Genomic DNA, 20,797 nt, shown 5'->3' with positions numbered 1-20,797 from the left:
TCACACCCACAAGGAAGGAATGCGTGCTCAGAGAGGCTGAGAAGAATCTAAACAGACAGGTCTTGCTGGGTTTCCCCTCTTAGTCTACTAGCATTCGATCATTCCCTTTTGGTCCAATTATATTTCTATACAGCCATCCATACTTCGTTGAACTAAAGCATAAGAACTGACAATTTTACCTGTCTCTTTGGGTCCCCATTCTGAAGGCTCCTGTGTCACATAAAACTATGATCGAATAATTGTGTATGCTTTTCTTCTATTAAGCTGCTTTTATCAGCTGATTTTCCACAAACCTTCGGAAAGAGAAGAAGTTTTCCTTTGGCCTTGACATTATCCACCGGAACCCCCAGGGACCTCCCCCTCCCTTGAGTTTATTGTTTCGCTGACTCCTTGCAGGACACCAACTAGCACTGGAATTTCATGACCCTGTGTTGCTAATTGGTGTGTGTTTATACTCCAAATAAAAAACGGGCAATTTCCTTGAAGATCTGTGCCACATTTCACTTCCACAGCAGCGGGTATCATTTTGTGTTTTAGAAAAATGACTAAAATTGGTTTTAATAGTAGCAGCTAACAATTGTGAAAAGTGTTTGCTAAGCACCAGTTAGCAAACTGATTGCTTCGCATTCATTATTACAATCTGCCCCCAGAAAAGCTCCCTTCTTTTAACACTTGAGCTCTAACACTTTTAGACAACGCTTAGATTTACCTGTTTCCAGAAGAACTAAGCTCCCTTTAGAAACCATTTAATTCCATTGTCGTAGAACAGATGGGGGTATAGCGCTTAACGCGGACCCCTTCACGGCCTCCACCAGCTGACTAGGGGCTCCATGGCTGATCTGAGAGGTCTGGAAATATATAGCCACATGCAAAGGAACTGGGAGCGACAGCCCATAACTTAAGTGTGCAAATGGTGTAATATTACATTGAATTGTTTGCACAGAGATTCTATTTACCCATAAAGATAATGATTCACTGTTATTTATAGTTGTCTCAGAATACTGATTTTTAGTCATTGCTTAGAATTAAAAAAATTTAATAAGCCCAGGCTTTTAAATGAATGTAGTAGCTTAAATTGAATTTTTTAGAATGTTCCTTAAAAAGTGTTCACTTATTCAATGAACTCTACATTCTTTCTCTAGCCTCATTGATTGCATCTTTTTCTTTTTCCTTGGTTCACAGGTATAATTGTCAGGAAAATCATATTCACATCCATCTCTTCTCAGTGGGTTGTTTGTTTTAATTATTTTTTTTTCAGAGACGGGGTCTTGCTTTGTTGTCCAGGCTGGAGTGCAATGGCATGATCATAGCTCATTTCCACCTTGAATTCCTGGGCTTACGCGATCTTCCTGTCTCAGCCTCCCAATTAGTTGGGACTACCTGTACATGTAACTATGCTGGGTCAATTTTTTTTAATTTATGGGGTTATTTTATTGTTGTTTGAGACAAAGTCTTGCCCTGTTGCTCAGGCTAGAGTGCAGGGGCACCATTACGGCTCACTGTAGACTTGACCTTCTGGGTTCAAGTGGTCCTCCCACCTCAGCCTCCTGAGTGTGCACCACCACAGCCAGCTATTTTTAATATTGTTCGTAAAGATGGGGTCTTGCCATTCTCAGTGGATTTCACTGGGTCTGAGTGGCATCTTGCAACTGGACTTTTTACATATTATGTATGAAGGGAAATAAATACACAGGATGCTCTCATTTTACAACTTGGGTGAAAAGCTATTTCATAATCACTCGGCCAGATATTCTGCGTAACACTCATAAAATACTTCTCCTCTTTTTACCTTAGATATAGCCATGGAACCTTGAAATCTACAGACGTAAGTAACACAGATGATCAGCTGGAAAGAAAACAAATGTGAGTGCAGTGATTAGTCTCTTTAAGACCCTCCATAGTGACCGGAGAAGTGTTCCAGGTGGCACAGCTAGGTTTCCACATTGACCCACTGTGCTTGTCGTCCTTCTCCAGCCAGTGCCCCTTTTGGAGGGAGTCACCAACAGAAATGTGTGCTGTCAATGTCTGGCTATGCCCATGCCCTGGGCTCTGCTTCACTCTCCCAAGACAGGGGTCCCTGGGGCAGCCTGATCTCCTTTTCAGTTCCCCAAAATCTGAGGGAAAAATGATAGACTGTGACAAAAAGGCAATCTATTATTTTACTTTTTAATAGAGTTCTGCCAGCTCTAGCATGTGCCATAAATTACAGTGACCTTTAAAATCTCGCTTGGTCACTGCTGAATGGGTGAGAATAGGCTTGGTTCCAGTTTTTAAGGTCACACTGTCCTAATTTGCAATGCATCACACCATGTACTAAGTTGGTAACAACCGCTTAGAGGAAAGCTTTCGTTATGCAAGGGAGAACATCAAAAAGGGCACTTATCCCAAATGAATGCAGCAATTTAAACCAAAGATGTTTACGCAGGGCAAGAACAAAGTAAGGCAGGAGTTTGGGGTCAACTAGGCTGATGTCTTTGAACACCCATGAGCTCACTGGAAGGTCTGAATATCTGGTGGCCGATGGGCTCGGGGTGTCTCGTCATTGCTTAGAAGCGAAAATTAAATGCTGAGTTATGTGGGTGAAAATATGTATGTTTGCAATTACACATGGAATGTAAACCAAAGATACAATTCTAAGCCCCCTAACCACTAAATGGATCCCTCCTCTCAGCCAAGGGCATTCCAAAGTTAACCTGAAACACTAGTTCAGGCTGTGATGGAAATGAGTGGGTGGACATGCCTCCATGGAAGGAATTCAGACACAACTGACCAGCATGAACATTCAAACAGAGACCTTAAGTCTAACAAAACAGACTCTTTGTAGCAATAAGATGCTGATATGACAGCAGGCCCTGAAAGCAATAGAAATACTTTACCCCAAAATATATTTCTTTGATATATTTTGAAATGGCCCTGCAAAGCTGTCTCTTGTGGGGAAAATCTACATTTTATAGAGAATCCTCTTCTCTTTCTGGGTATTTTTTCTGATCTAGGAGAGAATTAACTAAGTCTGGCACCTTTTTAAGTCTAATAGGAAACCATTTACAAGCTATTCTCTCGGAAGCCTGCTACCTGGAGACTTTATCTGCAAAATAAGAACCTTGGTCTCCTTCACCCCTTATTTTAAACCAAACACACCCTCCTATTGACTCTGGGTCTTTAGATAAACTCTTTCAACTCATTACCAATCAGAAAAATCTTTGAATTCACCTATGACCTGGGAGCCCGCCCATCTTGAGTTGTCCTCCCTTTCCAGACCAAACGAATGTATATCTTACATGTATTGGTTGATGTCTTATGTCTCCCTAAAACATATAAAAGCAAGCTGCAGCCCAACCACCTTGGACACATGTCATCAGGACCTCCTGAGGCTGTGTCACAGGCACGTCCTTAACCTTGACAAAATAAACTTCTGCATTGATTGAACCTGTGTCAGATACTTTTTGGCTTACAGTCATTTATATAAATAATAAAACCAAGAGGATGAAAAAGACTCTCAAAACTAAGCTAAATTCTTCACCTAAAATAAATAATATAGACATTTATTTATGCAAGATTTTAGCAGTAGTGTCATCTTCATATGTAGACAGCAAGTTACTTCATGGTGGAAGATAAGATGTTTAGCCTGAGGGAATTTTCTAAGCAAAGAGAATTACCACTTAAAAAGGAAACATCTTAAAGCAAATTTTAACCATTTTGCATGGAAATACTATTCACTTACTTTATGTCTGTAAACATCATTTAATGTTGTCATGAAAATTGTGTTAATAACATTTCATTATGAAAATAATGAAAATCTTATCACAGTAGTGAAATCATTATGAAAATAATGAAAATCCATTTTTTTTCCGCAAGTTAAGTATTCATACTTTGTAATCATACTGACCCGAGTATGTTCTGTCATTGGCTTAAAATGTGGGTTTTCCACATTGGTAAAAATTTGCTAGGCCACCTGTGTGTGGTTTGTGGCTCTGAGTACACTGTGGCGCCCCCTTTGAGAGCAGCATGTTAGCTGCCATGAGGCTCCAGACTTAGTCAAAAATTGCTTTCAGTAAGACAGGTGGTCATGTCTCTAGAGGGTGTGACCATTTCTCCTTCTCAGTATAAAATAGAGTGGTCAGACTGTTCTACGCAGATGCTGAGTGCCACAGGATGCTAAGGGAATGGTGCAAGTGCTGTGGATGCTTTTACAGAAACTGAGAGACTGCTTACTATTTTAAGGCCGCCTAAGTGATTGCACAGTAATTATTGCCAAGTTGCATATGGAGACTTTTAAATTCTTTAATTGTGTCACCACAAATTGTAACGTCATTTATGTTGACACAAAATTTGGGTAGCAATTGTTAAAATAATTGAGAGGCCATTAGGCTGAGATGGCCTCAGAGCCCTTTGTTTCCTAGGTGAACAAATCCAGCCAAGCCCAATTCAACATAAACAGTTAAACAAACAAACAAAAAACCTTTACCAGTCAGAAACCACCAACAAGCCCAGGGATTTTCCAGTAGATCATATTCAATTAAGACAAATACGTAGCTGTAGCCAATCAAGCAATTGCTTTGCTTTGCTTGCATGTTCCGCCTATAAAACCCCACACCTCTTGCTGCTACAGTGAAATTCTCTGAACCTCTTCAGGCTTTGAATGCTGTCCAGTTCATGAATCCTTTAATTTCAAATAAACTCTGTTGAATTAATTTGTCTTAAATTTGCCTTTTAATACAACTCTCTCCTTTATTTTCTGTGGGTTGGAAAAACAGAGTAATAATTTTGTTAGAACTGTGTGCAAAGTAAGTATGTGTATGCCATGAGTGAAGCAAAGAGAGGGCTTACTTCTTTTTAAATGTGCTTTCCTACCAGGGCATGAAAAATACTTTAAAAAGCATTTTTATTTACTTCTGGGTCCTTTACTGCACTCCAAAAAGCTGAGTTTGCCTGACAGTACATATTAGATAAGAGAGATGTTAGGAAAATTGACTTCAGCAATTTTACATCTTGCCTCACACAAAAGGCTTTGATGCACCAAATTTCCACAATGTAAGACCCTTGCAAAATAAAAAAAAAAGTCACAATAGGAAAATCTCAAACATGCTACAGAGACAGATTTAAAAAGTTACTTGGCATAGTCAAATAAAGTAAATGGTATACTGTCTCATTTCAATTTCAACTATAAGTTGCTAAGAAACTTTTGTTTCTAAATTTGCCATATATACATTGCTGAAACTACATCCTAAAGGGACTGCCTTCCTAAATTGAGGATATCAGTATTTATCACAGCTCTTCCCAGCATGGAGGCTTTAACAACAACAAATACCAAAATAAATGTATTATGCCAGACAATCAGGAGGCTCTGCTCTCACTGAATTCTGAATAAGAGACAGATAATACTGTTCTAATTCTCCAACATGTGCTTCTGCCAATTTAAAACTTTTCTTCTTTGAAACAAATAGCTGTTTTTAGTAAGAGGTCAGTGTACTTTAAAGAGTTAAGAAGGTTTTGCATTGCCTATTTCCGTTATCTTGAGGTCTCCAGATTTGTAAATATCTCCTCATTCATTTTCCAAAAGGCCCATAAAGCTGGTTTGGAGAAAGTATGAGTGTGATTTTTTTCTCAGGTAAAAAAAAAAGTGACCCCATGTCAGTAATCTAAACATTACTCGATTTTTTTTGAAGTCAGACCAAATTTCTGTCTTCAGAAAATGTTTCTTTTTTCTCCCACTTGTCTTCTTCAACTTTTGAACAAATACTTTCAAAATATCTTGGTGGCATGACTACTATAGAAAGAAACCAGTGTCATAAATGGAGTGATCTGGGCTAAACTTTATCTGTCCTGGGAATCTTTTACATGATTCATTTAGAGACTACTCCCACCCCTTGGTCTCTCTTCCCTTGGATTTCTGAGAGCTTAGGAACTCCCACTCTGAGATACTCTGTGTTCTCTCCTCACGTGGAGTGTATCTGCTACTTTGAAATCAACATCCCTACCAGACACGTGTCACATTTAAGTTCACGCACAGGACCATGTCCTGGAATGATAAGGCTTTCTGCTGCTGTTCTACCCTGAGGGCATTCCGCAGGCATCTTAGGAACTCAATCTTGAAGGCTCAAGCTAAGCAAGTGAGTTCAGCTTGTACTCATCACCCAGAATTCTCTAGTAGTCACTTTTACCTCCAACTTCCCACTCTCTCGCCTCCAACTAAAGGGTTCCCAAGGTCAGTTCTGGCTTAGCTACACTGTTCATCTTCCACCTCCTTGTCATGCCTGCAGCAAGCCGAATTTCTGTTCTCTGAGAGGCTGACCCAGAGCTCCTCCTGGGTGACCAAGCTCGCTTCTCCCTGGGGACCAAAGGGCAGCATCATCGGCCAAAGACAAAAAGAAACCCTGGGGAAGACATCCTCCCTTACTTTCCTGCCTGCTAGGGTGGGGGCCGAGGCAAAACTTGCTCCTACTTTTCTACTTTGCCCTTCACATTAACAACAATCTGAAGGGCATTAAGGTTTAATGTGTTCTCTGCGGATTCAAACGAGTTCCTAAAATTAAGTACTACACTCTATTACTTATTAATCACATCTGATTCAGAAGTTTTTCTTCACGTACTTCCTCATTTTCTGGACTTTGAACTTCCCTCTCATGTTAGAGCCAAGCAGCTGTAGCAAACTAGCCATTATTTTTTCCTGCATTGCATAAAATAGAATAACACTCTCCAAGTGTAATCCAGCTTCTGTGATTTATATTGATGAGCATCTCAGGACTCTGCTCCACACCAAGGCTTGTGACCATCGGAAATGTTGCAGATCCAGTTATGGCAGGATGCATGCCTCTATTCTCCAAGGATTCTCTATTCTACCCTTAACCAATGATCTGGCCTCATGACAGCAGTCTTCTATTGCAGGGACATGGTCAGCAGGGAGGAAATATGCTTACGGGGCAGCACACTTGGATTCCTCTAAAAATCATATACTATCCCTCTAAAATCACCTATATTTTTCCATCTCCCTGTCCTCTAATCAGTAAGATATTTAAGCATGTGAACCCCTATTGAGATATTGGACAATCACTCTGTAATTCTTTCTGTGTGCATGGTAGTTAATAAATGTGTATGCCTTTTCTCATTAATCTGCCTTTTTGTGAGTTGATTTTTCAGCAAATCTTCCGAAGGGTAAGGGGATGCTTTCCCTTTGCCCTGCAGTTGGTAATAATTTACTCATGGCAGCACATGGTACAGAAGGTAGAAGGTTACTGAGCGAGTGACCCACTGTCAGGAGACTGGCCCGCGATCAAAGTGCTTGGCTGGCTCATCAGAGGGCGCTGATTTTGCACTGATTTTTACCAGCCCCTCAACCACCAACTCCTGGGCAGCCACCCATGGGAGGTAAGGCTCCATTGCGGGGGTCAGTGGACATTCATTATCACACAGGGGCTTTCTCATTTTCTTTTCTAAAATCCTTAATATAATAGTATCCTGTGTACGTCATCTAAATGTGACCTTTATGTTTTCTATGAAGGACTATATATATATATATACGTATATATATATATATATATACACACATATATATATATATACATATGTATATATATACATACATATATATATGTATATACACACACATATGTATATATATTCTACATAGAGGCACACTTCTGATATATGAAAGCATAAGATTACAACCAGCTGTGATTTTTATTTATTTTAGCTTCTAAATTTAAAATTCTCAGATTAATGTAACATAATCTGTTCATTTAGGGATTCGTGTTTAAGTTCTATGCTTTAGTGCTAGGTGGCTGCAAATCACAATGTACTTTCAAAACAAAGTATCTTAACCTTTTAATAAATCCTTTTCATAACCTGTTCAATTCAAAAAAATGTTTATAAACATGTTAGACATCTGACACCATTCTATCGCAAGAGGGTAGAAACATTTATTGCAGCAGAATACTATGGTTATTCACTCTCAAGTTTATTATTCCCCTTATTTTATTGTAGCAACTCTGGATTCTTTAGTATAAAGAGAAATCAAAAGAAACAAAATATCTATAGTCTTAGTTTCAGAACTACACTAGGATCTGGTGACCTAAACCATATGTACAGAATATAAACATATTTATACTTTATATGTACATAGTTAATGGTTACCTATGCATTATAAATAGTAAGTTTAACTTAGATTCTACAAAAATAATCATTTTGGGTGGGTACATGCAAACCAGTACACATAAACCTATTTATAAAACACATCTCTATGCTTTTTTTTTTTGCTTCTAAATATAAATTTTGCTATTTAGCCATCAGCTAAATGATCTAAATGCAAACCCCAAAGTTTCCAGTTAAAAGTATAAAATCTGCTTCTAACCACAGCAGCATACTGCTTCAAGTATTCTCCTCCTATGTAAGGTCGAGATAATTTTGTCACATATGAATTTTAGGTGGACATCTCATTTCCTCACATATTAGACATCCTGCTGGGGTCACAGCTTCTTTGTTCCATTTGTCTTTTTTTGTTGTTTTTTAATAAGACATTGCAAACAGTAGCTATTTCTTAAAGTGACATAATTTTCGCTTTTGCATTCTGATAAAAATGAACATACTTAAGCCTCTTCCTTGCACCCTGACCCTGGTGCTCTAGCATAATGCAACAAATCCTACGCTCAATGGTTTGCAGGGCCATCCACGCAGGCAGATGACTGGGTGGCCACAAAAGGCTCATTTTGCTTCTGGTCCTCTTTCATGCCAGCTGCCTGGTCTGTGATCGAGGAGAAGGACAGTTGGTCATGCTCTATGATGTGCACCTGATCCTCGTCCTTGTCCTTCTTCACATAGAACATTTTTCTGAATTTTTTCAGCTCATGGAGTTCACAGAAGGTTTCCAGAACTACCAACATGGCAATAAGGCCAAGTAGCAGGTAACCTGTGTGAGAAACAGGACACTGTCTTAGTGTGATCTCAACATGGATAAATCAAGTAGCGAGTGATTTACCTCCCCACCTCATGCCAACACAGTGTTTGTTAAGGAATAAACTCATTGCCAGTTTCTTAATTTTTAGAAGTGTTTTTAAGTTCATGGTTCAAAGAGGAACTACCCATTATTAAAGAGTGAAAGACAATGAAGAATGATTTAACCTCCTATGAACTTGGATTAGTTAGAATCACAGGCTGCAATTTTTGAGAAAAAAAAAATACTTGGGGCTGATGTGGCATTATTAAAGACACATAACATACTGCACTTACCCAAGTGTGATATTTTATGCAAGGAGGGTTTGCCACCTCTGCTTTATAATCAGTGGCTCACAAAAAGCCAGTGATGTTTTAGAAAAGTTTTTGTTTTATCATGGGGTGCTCGGAAGATTTTAAGCACTCAATACTCTTACAATTTCTATTATAGAATAAGAGTTTATAATAGAAATTGCAGTCTTAAATGCTATGGTTTGGCTGTGTCCCCACCCAAATCTCATCTTGAATTCCCATGTGTTGTTGGAGGGACCTGGTGGGAGGTAGTTGAATCATGGGGGTAAGTCTTTCCCCTGCTGTTCTCATGATAGTGAATAAGTCTCACGAGATCTGATGGTTTTAAAAAGAGGACTTCCCCTGCACACATTCTCTCTCTCTTTGCCTGCTGCCATCCATGTAAGATGTGACTTCCTCCTCCTTGCCTTCCACCATGATTGTGAGGCTTCCCTAGCCACATGGAACTGTAAGTCCAATTAAACCTCTTTCTTTTGTAAATTGTCCAGTCTCGGGTATGTCTTTATCAGCAGTGTGAAAACAGACTAATACACTAAACTAAATCAAAAATTTAAGAATGTATGTTGATATTAAATAGGTCCTTGTGCATGGCTATCTACACTTGCACCTAAATCCAGCAACAAAGCCAAGCTCTTCATTATCTCTCAGTTGTTTTTGGACATGTGGACTATTCACTGGCCAACATTACCAGTTTGTTACTGGGAAAATGAAGGATAACTGTTGACTCAAGTAAAATGTATTGCTTGGAATCTGTGATGGGAAATGGTGATTTAAAATTCCTTCCATCATTTTAAAAATGAGTTTTCAGAAAAAAAAATCATAAAAAGGAACAGAAATGTGAAGATGAAAACTCCAAGAATAACAAAAATTCTGATTTTATGTCCCAGTGGTAAAACATTTGAGAAGGATTTTCGAAAATGTATGAAGTAGGGAAGCTAAAATTGGCAGCATAACAGGAATAAGGAAACTAATTAACCACAGAATACAAAGTTTTAGTATCTTCAGAATCTGACTATAGGTTTTGAAAACAATATCGTGCATTCAGTGTGCTCTCCTGTACTTTAAAAATAGTAATGACATTGTTAGACTAATTGATGGATCTCTGTGTCTTTTCCTTTATTATTCTTATTACTATTTTTTGAGACAGAGCCTCATTCTGTCACCTAAGCTGAAGTACAGTGGCATGATGTTGGCTTACTGCAACCTCCGCCTCCCAGGTTCAAGTGATTTTCAGCTAATTTTTGTATTTTTAGTAGAGATGGTGTTTCACCATATTGGCCAGGTTGGTCTCGAACTCCTGGCCTTAGTGATCTGCCTGCCTTCGTCTCCCAAAGTACTATGATTACAGGCATGAGCCACCGTGCCCAGCCTCCTTTATAATTATTTTGTCAAACTCTTGAATGCTCACAAAAATATCCATGGGGTTTCAGACAAAAACAGGGGTATTTTATCCTGCCCACATCTAATATATCTTTGGAATATTCATTTGTTAGATACTCAGGTTCTTGATGCTCAAAACATAAACTAATTCTATGTAGATTGCTTTTTAAAAAATGATCCACATTGTAAGAAGTGATAAAATGTTATGCAAGGATTTAGTATTATATGAAACACTGAAGAAGTTAAGTGGTTGGGCAAAATTTATGAGAAGACAATTTATATAAGAGAAAATTATTGTAGCTAGCAAACATAATTACAGAAACATTCTACTTTCCAAGTCACAGAATAAAATAAAATAAAACAAAACAATCACCTATAATATGAAAAGAAAGTTAAGATAATGTTTATTTGGCTATCAAACTCACATACACAAAAAACATCTCTAATGCTACTGGCCATCACCACCCCAGGAGTGCTGAAACTGTCACACTCAGATAATGCTGGTGACGTGTCAACTCATAACAACATTTGGAAAGCACCAGGTCATTATGTTCTATGAGTCACAAAAAGGCGTATTCACTTTGCACCAGCAATCTCATTTCTTGGAAGAATATCAGAGGAGGAAATGTGTATATATACAAAAATATTCTTGGCCAGGTGGGGTGGCTCACGCCTGTAATCCCAGCACTTTGGTAGGCTGAGGCGGGCAGATCACGAAGTCAGGAGTTCGTGACTAGCCTGGCCAACATGGTGAAACCCTGTCTCTACTAAAAATACAAAAAATTAGCCGGATGTGGTGGCAGGTGCCTATAATCCCAGCTATTTGGGAGGCTGAGGCAGGAGAATCGCTTGAACCCGGGAGGTGGAGGTTGCAGTGAGCTGAGATCGTGCCATTGCACTCCAGCCTAGGCAATAAGAATGAAACTCCATCTCAAAAAAAAAAAATTCTCTACAATGTCATTTATAATACCCCTGAATTAGAAGAAAGCTAAATAATGAGCAATAGAGGCATGATTGGATTATGGTTTTGCCACCTGGTGAATACCATATGGGCTCTAAAAATAATACCTATGGTAGCTACAGGAAATATAAAATTATCCTAAGTAACCATTTGGCAAAAAAAAGTCTGTCGAACTTGTATGGTAGCCAGGCACTGTTCAAAGCATTAGGGATTTATGAGTAACGTCTGTTTTGGCTGAGCCCATGGTTTAAAGGAAATGTCAAAATACACACAATTCAACTAAGCATTTTGTAGGGTTAAGAATTACAAGACAGGGCCAAGACAGAGCATCTGGCTGCTTGAGTATCTACTATGATTCGCTAGAAAACGTGACCTGAGCCAAGTCGTAAATTGAAAAATTCTTAAGAAGGCAAGACAGAAATGAAAACAGTAGGTACATTATAACTGCAACTGTGTGCATGCTGAAAAGGACAGGAGGGCTCACACAGAAATGAACAGTTTCTTGAAAATGGATGGTTAAGTTTTCTATGATATTACATTGAATTTAAAATGAAAACTGTTAAAAAATTATAAATCCCTGACCATCTGAATTTGAATGCCCATTTTATTTTCCACACACAAAATTCTGGAAACAGTTAATAGAGGCGAACTTCTTCTAAAAAGAACCAGATGGACAAATGAGGTAAGCAGCTCTTTTAAGACTTTTCTGGTAAATTAAAGAGCATGATTGATAACACGCTCTATCCGAGGCCTAGTTTTCTTGGCCTTAAAATATTTAATAAAGTAGAGCAATCTTTTTTTTTAATTAACAGTTGGTTATCAAGTACATTCTGTATGATGTATTTTTTTTTTTTTTTTTTTTTTTGAGACGGAGTCTCGCTCTGTCGCCCAGGCTGGAGTGCAGTGGCGCGATCTCGGCTCACTGCAAGCTCCGCCTCCCGGGTTCACGCCATTCTCCTGCCTCAGCCTCCCGAGTAGCTGGGACTACAGGCGCCCGCTACCACGCCCGGCTAATTTTTTGTATTTTTAGTACAGACGGGGTTTCACCGTGTTAGCCAGGATGGTCTCGATCTCCTGACCTCGTGATCCGCCCGCCTCGGCCTCCCAAAGTGCTGGGATTACAGGCGTGAGCCACCGCGCCCGGCCTGTATGATGTATTTTTACACTGTCATTTATAACGCCTACATTATTAGTAAGAAATTCGTCTGTAATTTTAAGGTGTTGTGAAAAATATCTCAGTAATAAGATTTTTGCATAAACAGTTTTGAAGGAAACCATAAAATGAAATGGTTGAGAAGGTGGTAAATTCGGAAAACTTCTCAATGAGAAGAAAGCAATCAGTGCTTTTATGAATGACCCCTCATTGAGAGGTGAAGTGGAGCTTGCAATGGCAAAATAGAGACAGAAGCCTGTAAGCCCAGCTACTTGGAAGGCTGATGCAGAGAATCCCTTGAACCCGGAAGGCGGAGGTTGCAGTGAGCCAAGATCGCACCACTGCACTCCAGCCTGGGCAACAGAGTGAGAGCTGGGCTCAAAATAAATAAATAAATAAATAAATAAAATAAAGGAGACAGAAGGAGCAGCCAGGGAGCTGTAATACTCACACGTGATCCCAATCTTATAGAGCTCTCTGAATTTTTGATTGTAGCCTTCCCCAGGCACATAATCCCCCAGGCCAATGGTGCTCAGGGAAATAAAACAAAAATAAAAGGATTCCAGGAAGTTCCAGTCATCCTCCAGGACTGAGAAGACAGCGGCCGGGATGAAGAAGAAGCAGGACACAGTGACAAACCCAAGGAGCACGGCATGGACGATGGCCACCACCTGCTTGGAGAAGCCCCAGCGGATGTGGAAGTAGAGGACCGGCCTGCGGGTGACGTGCACGGTGATGCGCTGGACCACAGCCGTCAGGAACAGGAGGGTGAAGGGAATGCCAATGACGGAGTAGATGATGCAGAAGGCCTTACCTCCATCTGACAAGGGCACGGTGTGGCCATAACCTGCAAGGAGAACAAGGTCACTGAGGCGAAGAGGAAGAGACAAAGTGGCAAACACGTTTTTAAACAATATATGCCTATCATCTGCCCTTATTCCCCTCAAACCAAAGAGAACAGCGAGACTTCAGGTCTGCCACTTTAGGGGCTCTAGTATAATTGTCATGTCCCAGTAAAATTCAACAGTGGTCACCATAAGTTTGAAAGTCCACCATTCTTTGTAAAATCCAACCAGCAATTCCAACACATCAGGGTCTCTGGTCTTGAATTCACTATCAGGCTCAAACACAAGTTCTGTGTACTAAGAAGCTAAGGCCCACACCCATCTTAGACCATCAGGAAAAACTCATCCGAGGCTACCCACTTCACCAGGGCCAGTCTATCCCCTCCACCCCTTCAGTTCACTTTCCCCAAGCATCCTCATTAGTGTGTAAACCTCAGTCTACACTCACCTCCCAAACTACTCAGAATGTTCTAACAGGAATGACTGACAAATAAAGGTGTGTGAATAGAACCAAGATAATATGAGTCCAGTAAGAGGGTGGAGTAGAATCAATGAAGATAGAGATATCAAAAAGCGGAAGAAAAATGAAGATTAAAGCATGCCATGTCACAGGATCAAGCACTTGTATACAGCACCCTTGACATGAGTAACTCCATCTTAGAAAAAGACTCCATCTTACATTTCATAGGGCACTTTGCCAACGTGGACAAGATGTTATGCTTAATAAATAAAGTCTGCATCCAACCAGATAAGGGCAAAAACAAGCACATTCTGTCACTATCAGTCCTCGCCAGAGGACTCTGTGGCCATAAAAAGAGCAGGACATTGGTAGCTCAAAACGGCCATCTCAACTGACACTGCCTTGCTGTCAACTGTGATTAGCACTTGGCATTTGCCGGGAAGGCTCTGCCCCCACTGAAGACTCTTTGTTGCAAAACCTGTGGACCACTTGCCTGGCCCCGACCAGGGGATTCTTTGGGTCTTTGTTGCTCTCCCAGTCTCCCTTGACTGGTTTGTTAACCCTTCTTCTTGTCCCTTTTCTCTTGATGTTATATGTTACTTTGTTTGTTGTGAAATGTTTGATCTGTAACACTTATCTATTGATTAAGTATACTATTATGTATGGCTTGCAATACAATTGACTTGTGAAGTGGCTTGTGTGCCTGCAGCTCTGACTACCGAGTGAACAGAAGGTACTAGGGAGAATTCCCTCCTTGGAATTCCATGCAGCTCCTGGCTTTTGTGACTGAAATAGCATCAGTAAAAGTGTGACACTATGGAAAGGCACAAATGTGCATGGACGTGGTTATCTCTTACTCTGTACCGCTCATGAGAATACTTCTTGTAAAATATTTTGCCCAGTTATCTGGTTAAATGGCACATTCATAAACTGACACATTTCCCCCACCCCCCGGTCATTTCTGTATTTTCAAAGATGTCATAAATTCCACAAACATTGAAAAAATTACATTAGGACCAGTGGTTGAAACACATGTCTGTTTTACTTTCTACCTGGTTGAAGTTTTTCCCAAATCTAGCTAATCAGGGGACTCTTCATCCAACCAACGCCAACAGAGAACCCAGCTGGGCATGGGGCCTGGTGGCTATTTTTAAAATCTCATGAGCACTTCATCTTAAAAGAACTAACATGTCTGAACAAGTCAATTCAGGAAAAAGCCAGCTAAATACATTTTTTTTAAATGAAATTGGATTCTGAGAAAAATCCACACAGGTGATTATAATTGAAAAGTAGTTTCAAAATCTGATCTCTAAAATACACTCAGCTTAAAAATAAACAAACTCCTTAGTTGCAAATCCCCCAAATTCTCTGCCTTATACTTAAGGCTTATACAAGTGTGTGTGGTTATTAAAAAGCTTCCTTGATTATTCCCATGTACGGCCTCACCACGGCAGAGGCAGGGTTCTTGACCCACTGTCCCAGAAGGTACACAGTTTATGAATGAACTACGGCAAGGCCCAGGAATCCTCTGAGATTGTACATCCACTTTCCCATGGAGAGATTCCAGGGCTTTGATTCTCTCAAGGGGTACGCGTCCTCAAATGGTTAAGAACTACTCTTGTTCTGAGTGTTGGCTCCTGAATCCATCTGGTCCCTGCACACCCAACTGCTCCTGGAATGCGGTGACTAATTTTGGGCATCATATTGAAAGAGGGAAATGGGCAAGTTGGAGAGTGCCTTGAGAATAACATGAAGGATGGTGCCAAATAATGTTCATGCTACATATGGAAGCAGGAGCCTTTGAATGTTTCATTTTGAGAAAAAAAAATATGTGAAGGAAGAATGAGACTCGTTCTGAGGAAGGCAGCTGATATTACAGAACCACCTGAACTAATGGGAGCTACAACTTCAGCGAGGCACCAAGGAGGGATGATCCGATGATTGCAGAGATCTGGAAATAGAATCTGAAAAATGGAACTTTATTTAACCATAAAAAAGCCAACTGAAGGCCGGGCACGGTGGCTCACCCCTATAATCCCAGGACTTTGGGAGGGCGAGGCGGGCGGATCACGAGGTCAGGAGTTTGAGACTAGCCTGGCCAACATGGTGAAACCCCATCTCTACTAAAAATACAAAAATTAGCCGGGCATGGTAGCGGGCACCTGTAATCCCAGCTACTTGGGAGGCTGAGACAGGAGAATTGTTTGAACCCGTGAGGCGGAGCTTGCAGTGAGCTGAGATCGCGCCATTGCACTCCAGCCTGGGTGACACAGCGAGACTCTGTCCCCACCCCCCCGCAAAAAAAAAGCCAACTGAAAAGCGATTCGCAAATGTAGTTACCAGCTTGTGACTGAAAGTGTTAGGAGATATTAACAACAGTGCTCACATGACCAGAAGGTCAAACAGAAACTGCAAGAGATGAATTTAGCTTTGGCACTGATTTTGTCGAGAAAACATAAGATCAGCTGAGTCAGTTGGACTCCACGAAGGCCTTTAAGTCTATGATTTTATTACTTTTTTTGGTAGCCTTTTTATAAATTTTTATAAATCAGCTTTACTAAAACTGTAACACACAATCCAAATTTTCCATACCATCTGTTGCAATAAATTACATAATTTAGGTTCTAGTAGAGAAAAAAAAGTAAACAAACTTCTAGTTTAAAAATATTTTAGCTTAGGAATTTTCTCTCAAATTATGATAGCTCTTTTCATTAGAATGTTAACTAAATCTCATTTACTAAAATGTTATCTCCAAGCAATGAAGATAATCATTATAAGACTCTAAGACCTCTCTCTGCAGTAATGGCATTTTTATGCTAGTACTGTAAAAATATTATATATTCCCACTAAGAGATTAAAAATCACCACCACGCAGATCCTTACTGAAAGTAATTTTCCTCTCCTGATGTGTACATAAATAATTTTTTGGTAATGGAAAGTAAAATATAAAATTTACATCTCATTTGCATTCCATACACTTAGCACAGGCCACATTGAGTAAACCACCCTCTGCACCAACTACAACACAGCGCTTCGTTTGCAGTAGACGGCTTAATGCATCTGACGGAAACTTTCAGTCCTATTGAATTTTAATGAAGTCGTGAATAATTTACTCAAGTCCAGTCAATTGAACCTTCAGATAGATCATGAAGCAAAATTCATATTTTTAAATCTTATAATCATATTTAACTCCATTACAAACCACGAAGAATTTAGCAAAATGTTAATAGACCAGGCTTACTTGGGTTACATTTTTTTAAGGCCAGTCATCACATAATTTTTGGAACCAAAAGATTGAACATAACAAAGACTGCTGAAAAAACTGACCTCAAAATTAGTTATAATCCTGAGGCAAAGCTCTCACTCACTAATGTTCTTGTATTCTAGCCTCCTACTCCACAACTGCTGGGTTTCCTGTTATGAGCTTGCATCTGTGAGGCATGTATGAGTATACGTATAATGGGTGGTTGTAATGATGACAGTCCCCTACTAAATTTGCCTTCCCATCTGGCTACTCTAATTACAACAGCCCTGACACTATGCTGGCTAATATCCAATCAGGGGCTATGCTTCGCTAGATTTTTCTGGTATTTAAATGCTCCTTAATGAGGGCCAAGACAGAGAACCTTTCTGGGCTCCTATAGAGTACATCAGAGCAAGTCACTGATATGCAACTTCTTCACATACACCAGATGCTTTTGAGAAAGGTGTAGCTTACAATGGCCCCACGTTGTGACCCTGAGTCTGTAACAGTATCACTTATTTGCATTATTTAGTATGATATGGAACAATGTATACATTCTCCATTAAGTTAGCTTGATACATGCAAAAAGAAGAAGAAGAGGAAGAGGAGGAGGAGGAGGAGAAGAAGAAGAAGAAGAAGAAGAAGAAGAAGAAGGAGAAGAAGAAGAAGCAGCAGCAGCAGCTACGAAAGAAGAACCTCAGCCTCTCCACCTCAGCAGAGATACTGAAATCAGTCGCAATGTTTCCCCTTCTGTAAAACAGAATTTACTTTGCAGTCCTCGACTTCAGCTTATTAATTATCTCTTTCCCGCTGGACTGTGTGGCCCTGGAGGTAGACCACATCCTCTCCTACTTTAAATTTCTCCAGGATCCCCAAACACAGTGCTGTCCAATCTACAGTGAACCGTAACACCGGTGCTGTTAGTGACTTCAATGTCACATGGGTCAGAAACTCACTGTATGGTGAAACTCATTGCACGGTGATGAATAAGCTTCAGGTCAGGTTGACTTTTTCTGTGATTTTCATTTTGCACTTTGCTGGAAATAAGTTGTTTCATATTTTTAAAAAGTTAACTTCAAGATATCTTGCATACAACATGTCTTCATAATTCCCTTTTTTGACAGCCATACTTTTCATGGATAAACTCCGTTCATCCTTCCCATCCATGCCATGCACACAACAAGGAATGTACATCTTCCGTTATTTTGCTTATGTTATAAAAAGAAGTTTGCCAGAGAGAGAAGGCTCAAGGGAGCTCTAAATAGACTGAAGAGAAATGCTGACAGAATGAAAGTGGGCTACAGTCAATACACGCGACCAAGGAGGCACAGATGGTAAGAGGTCACAGAGGTAACAAGTCATGGCAGGTGCAAGTGGTCTAGGATTTTCTTGGGATCACTTTTTACTGCCTCATTCATTTAATACTTTTCTAAACACTTATTGTTGTTTCTACTCATTCATGAATCGTTTCTTGCTAACAAGCAAAGACAGAGAGGCAATGGCATTCCTAGTTGGGACATGGCATCAATTCTTTACCTTATAGTGGACATCTGAGAGAGGGACTAAATTAATACACCACACTTAAAAGCTAGGGGAGCCAGCAAACAACTCAAGTTCCACAGATGAGAACCTTGCACTTTTTGCAATGAAGTTTCCACTAAAAATGGCAGCGCAGTGAAAGAACGATTAGAAATAATAACTTAGGCAAGGGGAACTCATCATGCATCCATCAGTCTGAGGAGGTAGGTTCTGGAAAGGAGGGAAACGGGCTCAAAACACTCAATAAAAACAGCCACACCTAGCTGCTTGCCATATGTGTATAAGCTGTAGTGTATGCAGAATAATTGTGAACCTTCATAACAATTTCCAAATCCTAGAGTTGTTATTTCTACTCTATAAATAAAAAGACTGAGTATTTGAGAGTTTAGACAATTTGCTCAAAGTCATACAAATAACAAGTTGAGCCCATAATCTTTGCACTCTACCAATCCAGATATATTATATGATACAAAGGACACGGATGCATCAAAAGTCAACTCAAGTCCTAACATTATTTCTTAGGTGCTCTCAGTGAGAGGGTGGTGTTACTCGCTACCTGCAAAAGAAGAACAATGATGTCTTTCCTGTGGTTCCGTGAAGCTGATTCTAAGATAGTGAGACTGAAATGAGAGGACAGGAGAGCGCAAAAACAACGTTTAGTAATGAACAAAGGACCGTGCAACTCACACACAGAACTGGTTGGTGGAAGGTGGAGCCTAGGGTAACTCTACAGATATCAGAAGGTGGGTCAGCAAAACATCTATCAAGGGTCCGAGAACGTAGGCATAACCTACATGCCTTTCATATTCTTGAAATAGAGTTTGGAGCCACATAGATGAACTTCTGTGGTAAATAGTAAGGTCATCAATGAAGACTGTCCCTAAATTGTGACAAACAAACATGAAACATAACAAATTAGTGGTGATCTTCAAAAGTAGAGTTTCTGTGGCAATAATTAATATCAGTGATATAAGCATAAACTAAATTCCAATAAAATACTTATCTTCCTATTTAACTATTTAATGTAAACGATAACTCTCAAGGAATCCCTGTTTATAAATAAATATCTAATTGCAGAGATACCAGCTAAGTAAGATAGGATGTCCAACAGCCCAAAGAATGAGTTATATTCTAAAGACATTAACGTAAATATCAGGTAAAAGTAGAAATCAAAATTGTACATTATGATTATAAATTACTCAATATATAAGTATATTTTCATTGTAAAATATTCAAACAACACTGATGCAGCAAATGTCCCCTTGACTACTCATGTCCTCTTCAATTCTAGTTCTCTCCAGAGGTTACTGTTAGGAGTTTTCTTTTAACAGTATATCCTGGAGATGGCTCCATTCTGAAACATGAAAATGGCACTCATCTGGCTGCAGTGTGCAGTACTGTGTCTTCCAGGTGAGAACCAGCCCCTTGCCCTGATGTAGCTTCCTTTTCCTAAGAAGGTTCTCTTATCATCCTTGGCCTTTCTTCTGGACTTCTCATGTTTGTTTGTGTTTATTGTGTTTGTTTACTTAAATAGGAGCTTGCCGGCAGTGTAGTCAATGTACCACATAACGACGTTTCAGTCAATAATGGGCCACATATATGACAGTGGTCCCATCAGACTATACCAGACCTGAAAAACTCCCATCCCCTAGCAATGTCGTAGCCATGGTAACATCATAAGGCGATGCATTACCCAAGTGTCTGTGGTGATGCTGGTGTAAACAAACCTCCTGCGCTGCTATTTGCATAAAAGTATAGCACATACGATTATAGTGTATGTATATATATTGACAATGATAATAAATGACTGTTACTGGTTTATATAGTTACAATTTTTTACTAATTTTTATCATTATTTTAGATTGTATTCCTTCTACAGGACTTGCCTGAAGCTGGTTTACATTTGACATTTTTTTTAATAAAAAATATTTAAAATAAAAAAAATGTCAAATGTAAACCAGCTTCAGGAAAGTCCTTC

At 39.6% G+C, this 20,797-nt stretch overlaps 1 protein-coding gene across 2 annotated transcripts in view, besides 2 other annotated features; it reads right to left on the bottom strand.

The window, feature by feature from the left end:
* Positions 438-939: an enhancer, noted in NCBI's record as "NANOG hESC enhancer chr1:233814980-233815481 (GRCh37/hg19 assembly coordinates)". NCBI's record gives its function as "activates a minimal SCP1, AML or CMV promoter by ChIP-STARR-seq in naive H9 embryonic stem cells {active_cell/tissue: H9 hESC(naive)}" and the evidence as "EXISTENCE:reporter gene assay evidence [ECO:0000049][PMID:30033119]".
* Positions 2,088-2,710: an enhancer, noted in NCBI's record as "NANOG hESC enhancer chr1:233813209-233813831 (GRCh37/hg19 assembly coordinates)". NCBI's record gives its function as "activates a minimal SCP1, AML or CMV promoter by ChIP-STARR-seq in naive H9 embryonic stem cells {active_cell/tissue: H9 hESC(naive)}" and the evidence as "EXISTENCE:reporter gene assay evidence [ECO:0000049][PMID:30033119]".
* The window catches only part of KCNK1 (potassium two pore domain channel subfamily K member 1), a 58,409-nt gene continuing 45,270 nt past the window's right edge, over positions 7,659-20,797 (bottom strand). For both annotated transcript variants that reach the window (NM_002245.4, XM_011544184.3), the window contains 2 exons: positions 13,183-13,578; positions 7,659-8,902 (listed from right to left, as the gene is read on the bottom strand). In NM_002245.4, the coding sequence (NP_002236.1) occupies positions 8,643-8,902; positions 13,183-13,578 (656 nt within the window). In that variant the 3' untranslated portion in view covers positions 7,659-8,642. The remainder of the gene's footprint in view (positions 8,903-13,182; positions 13,579-20,797) is intronic.

This window comes from Homo sapiens, chromosome 1, assembly GCF_000001405.40.
Source record: "Homo sapiens chromosome 1, GRCh38.p14 Primary Assembly".
NCBI lineage: Eukaryota > Metazoa > Chordata > Mammalia > Primates > Hominidae > Homo > Homo sapiens.
This window is presented reverse-complemented; position numbering and strand designations above follow the sequence as displayed.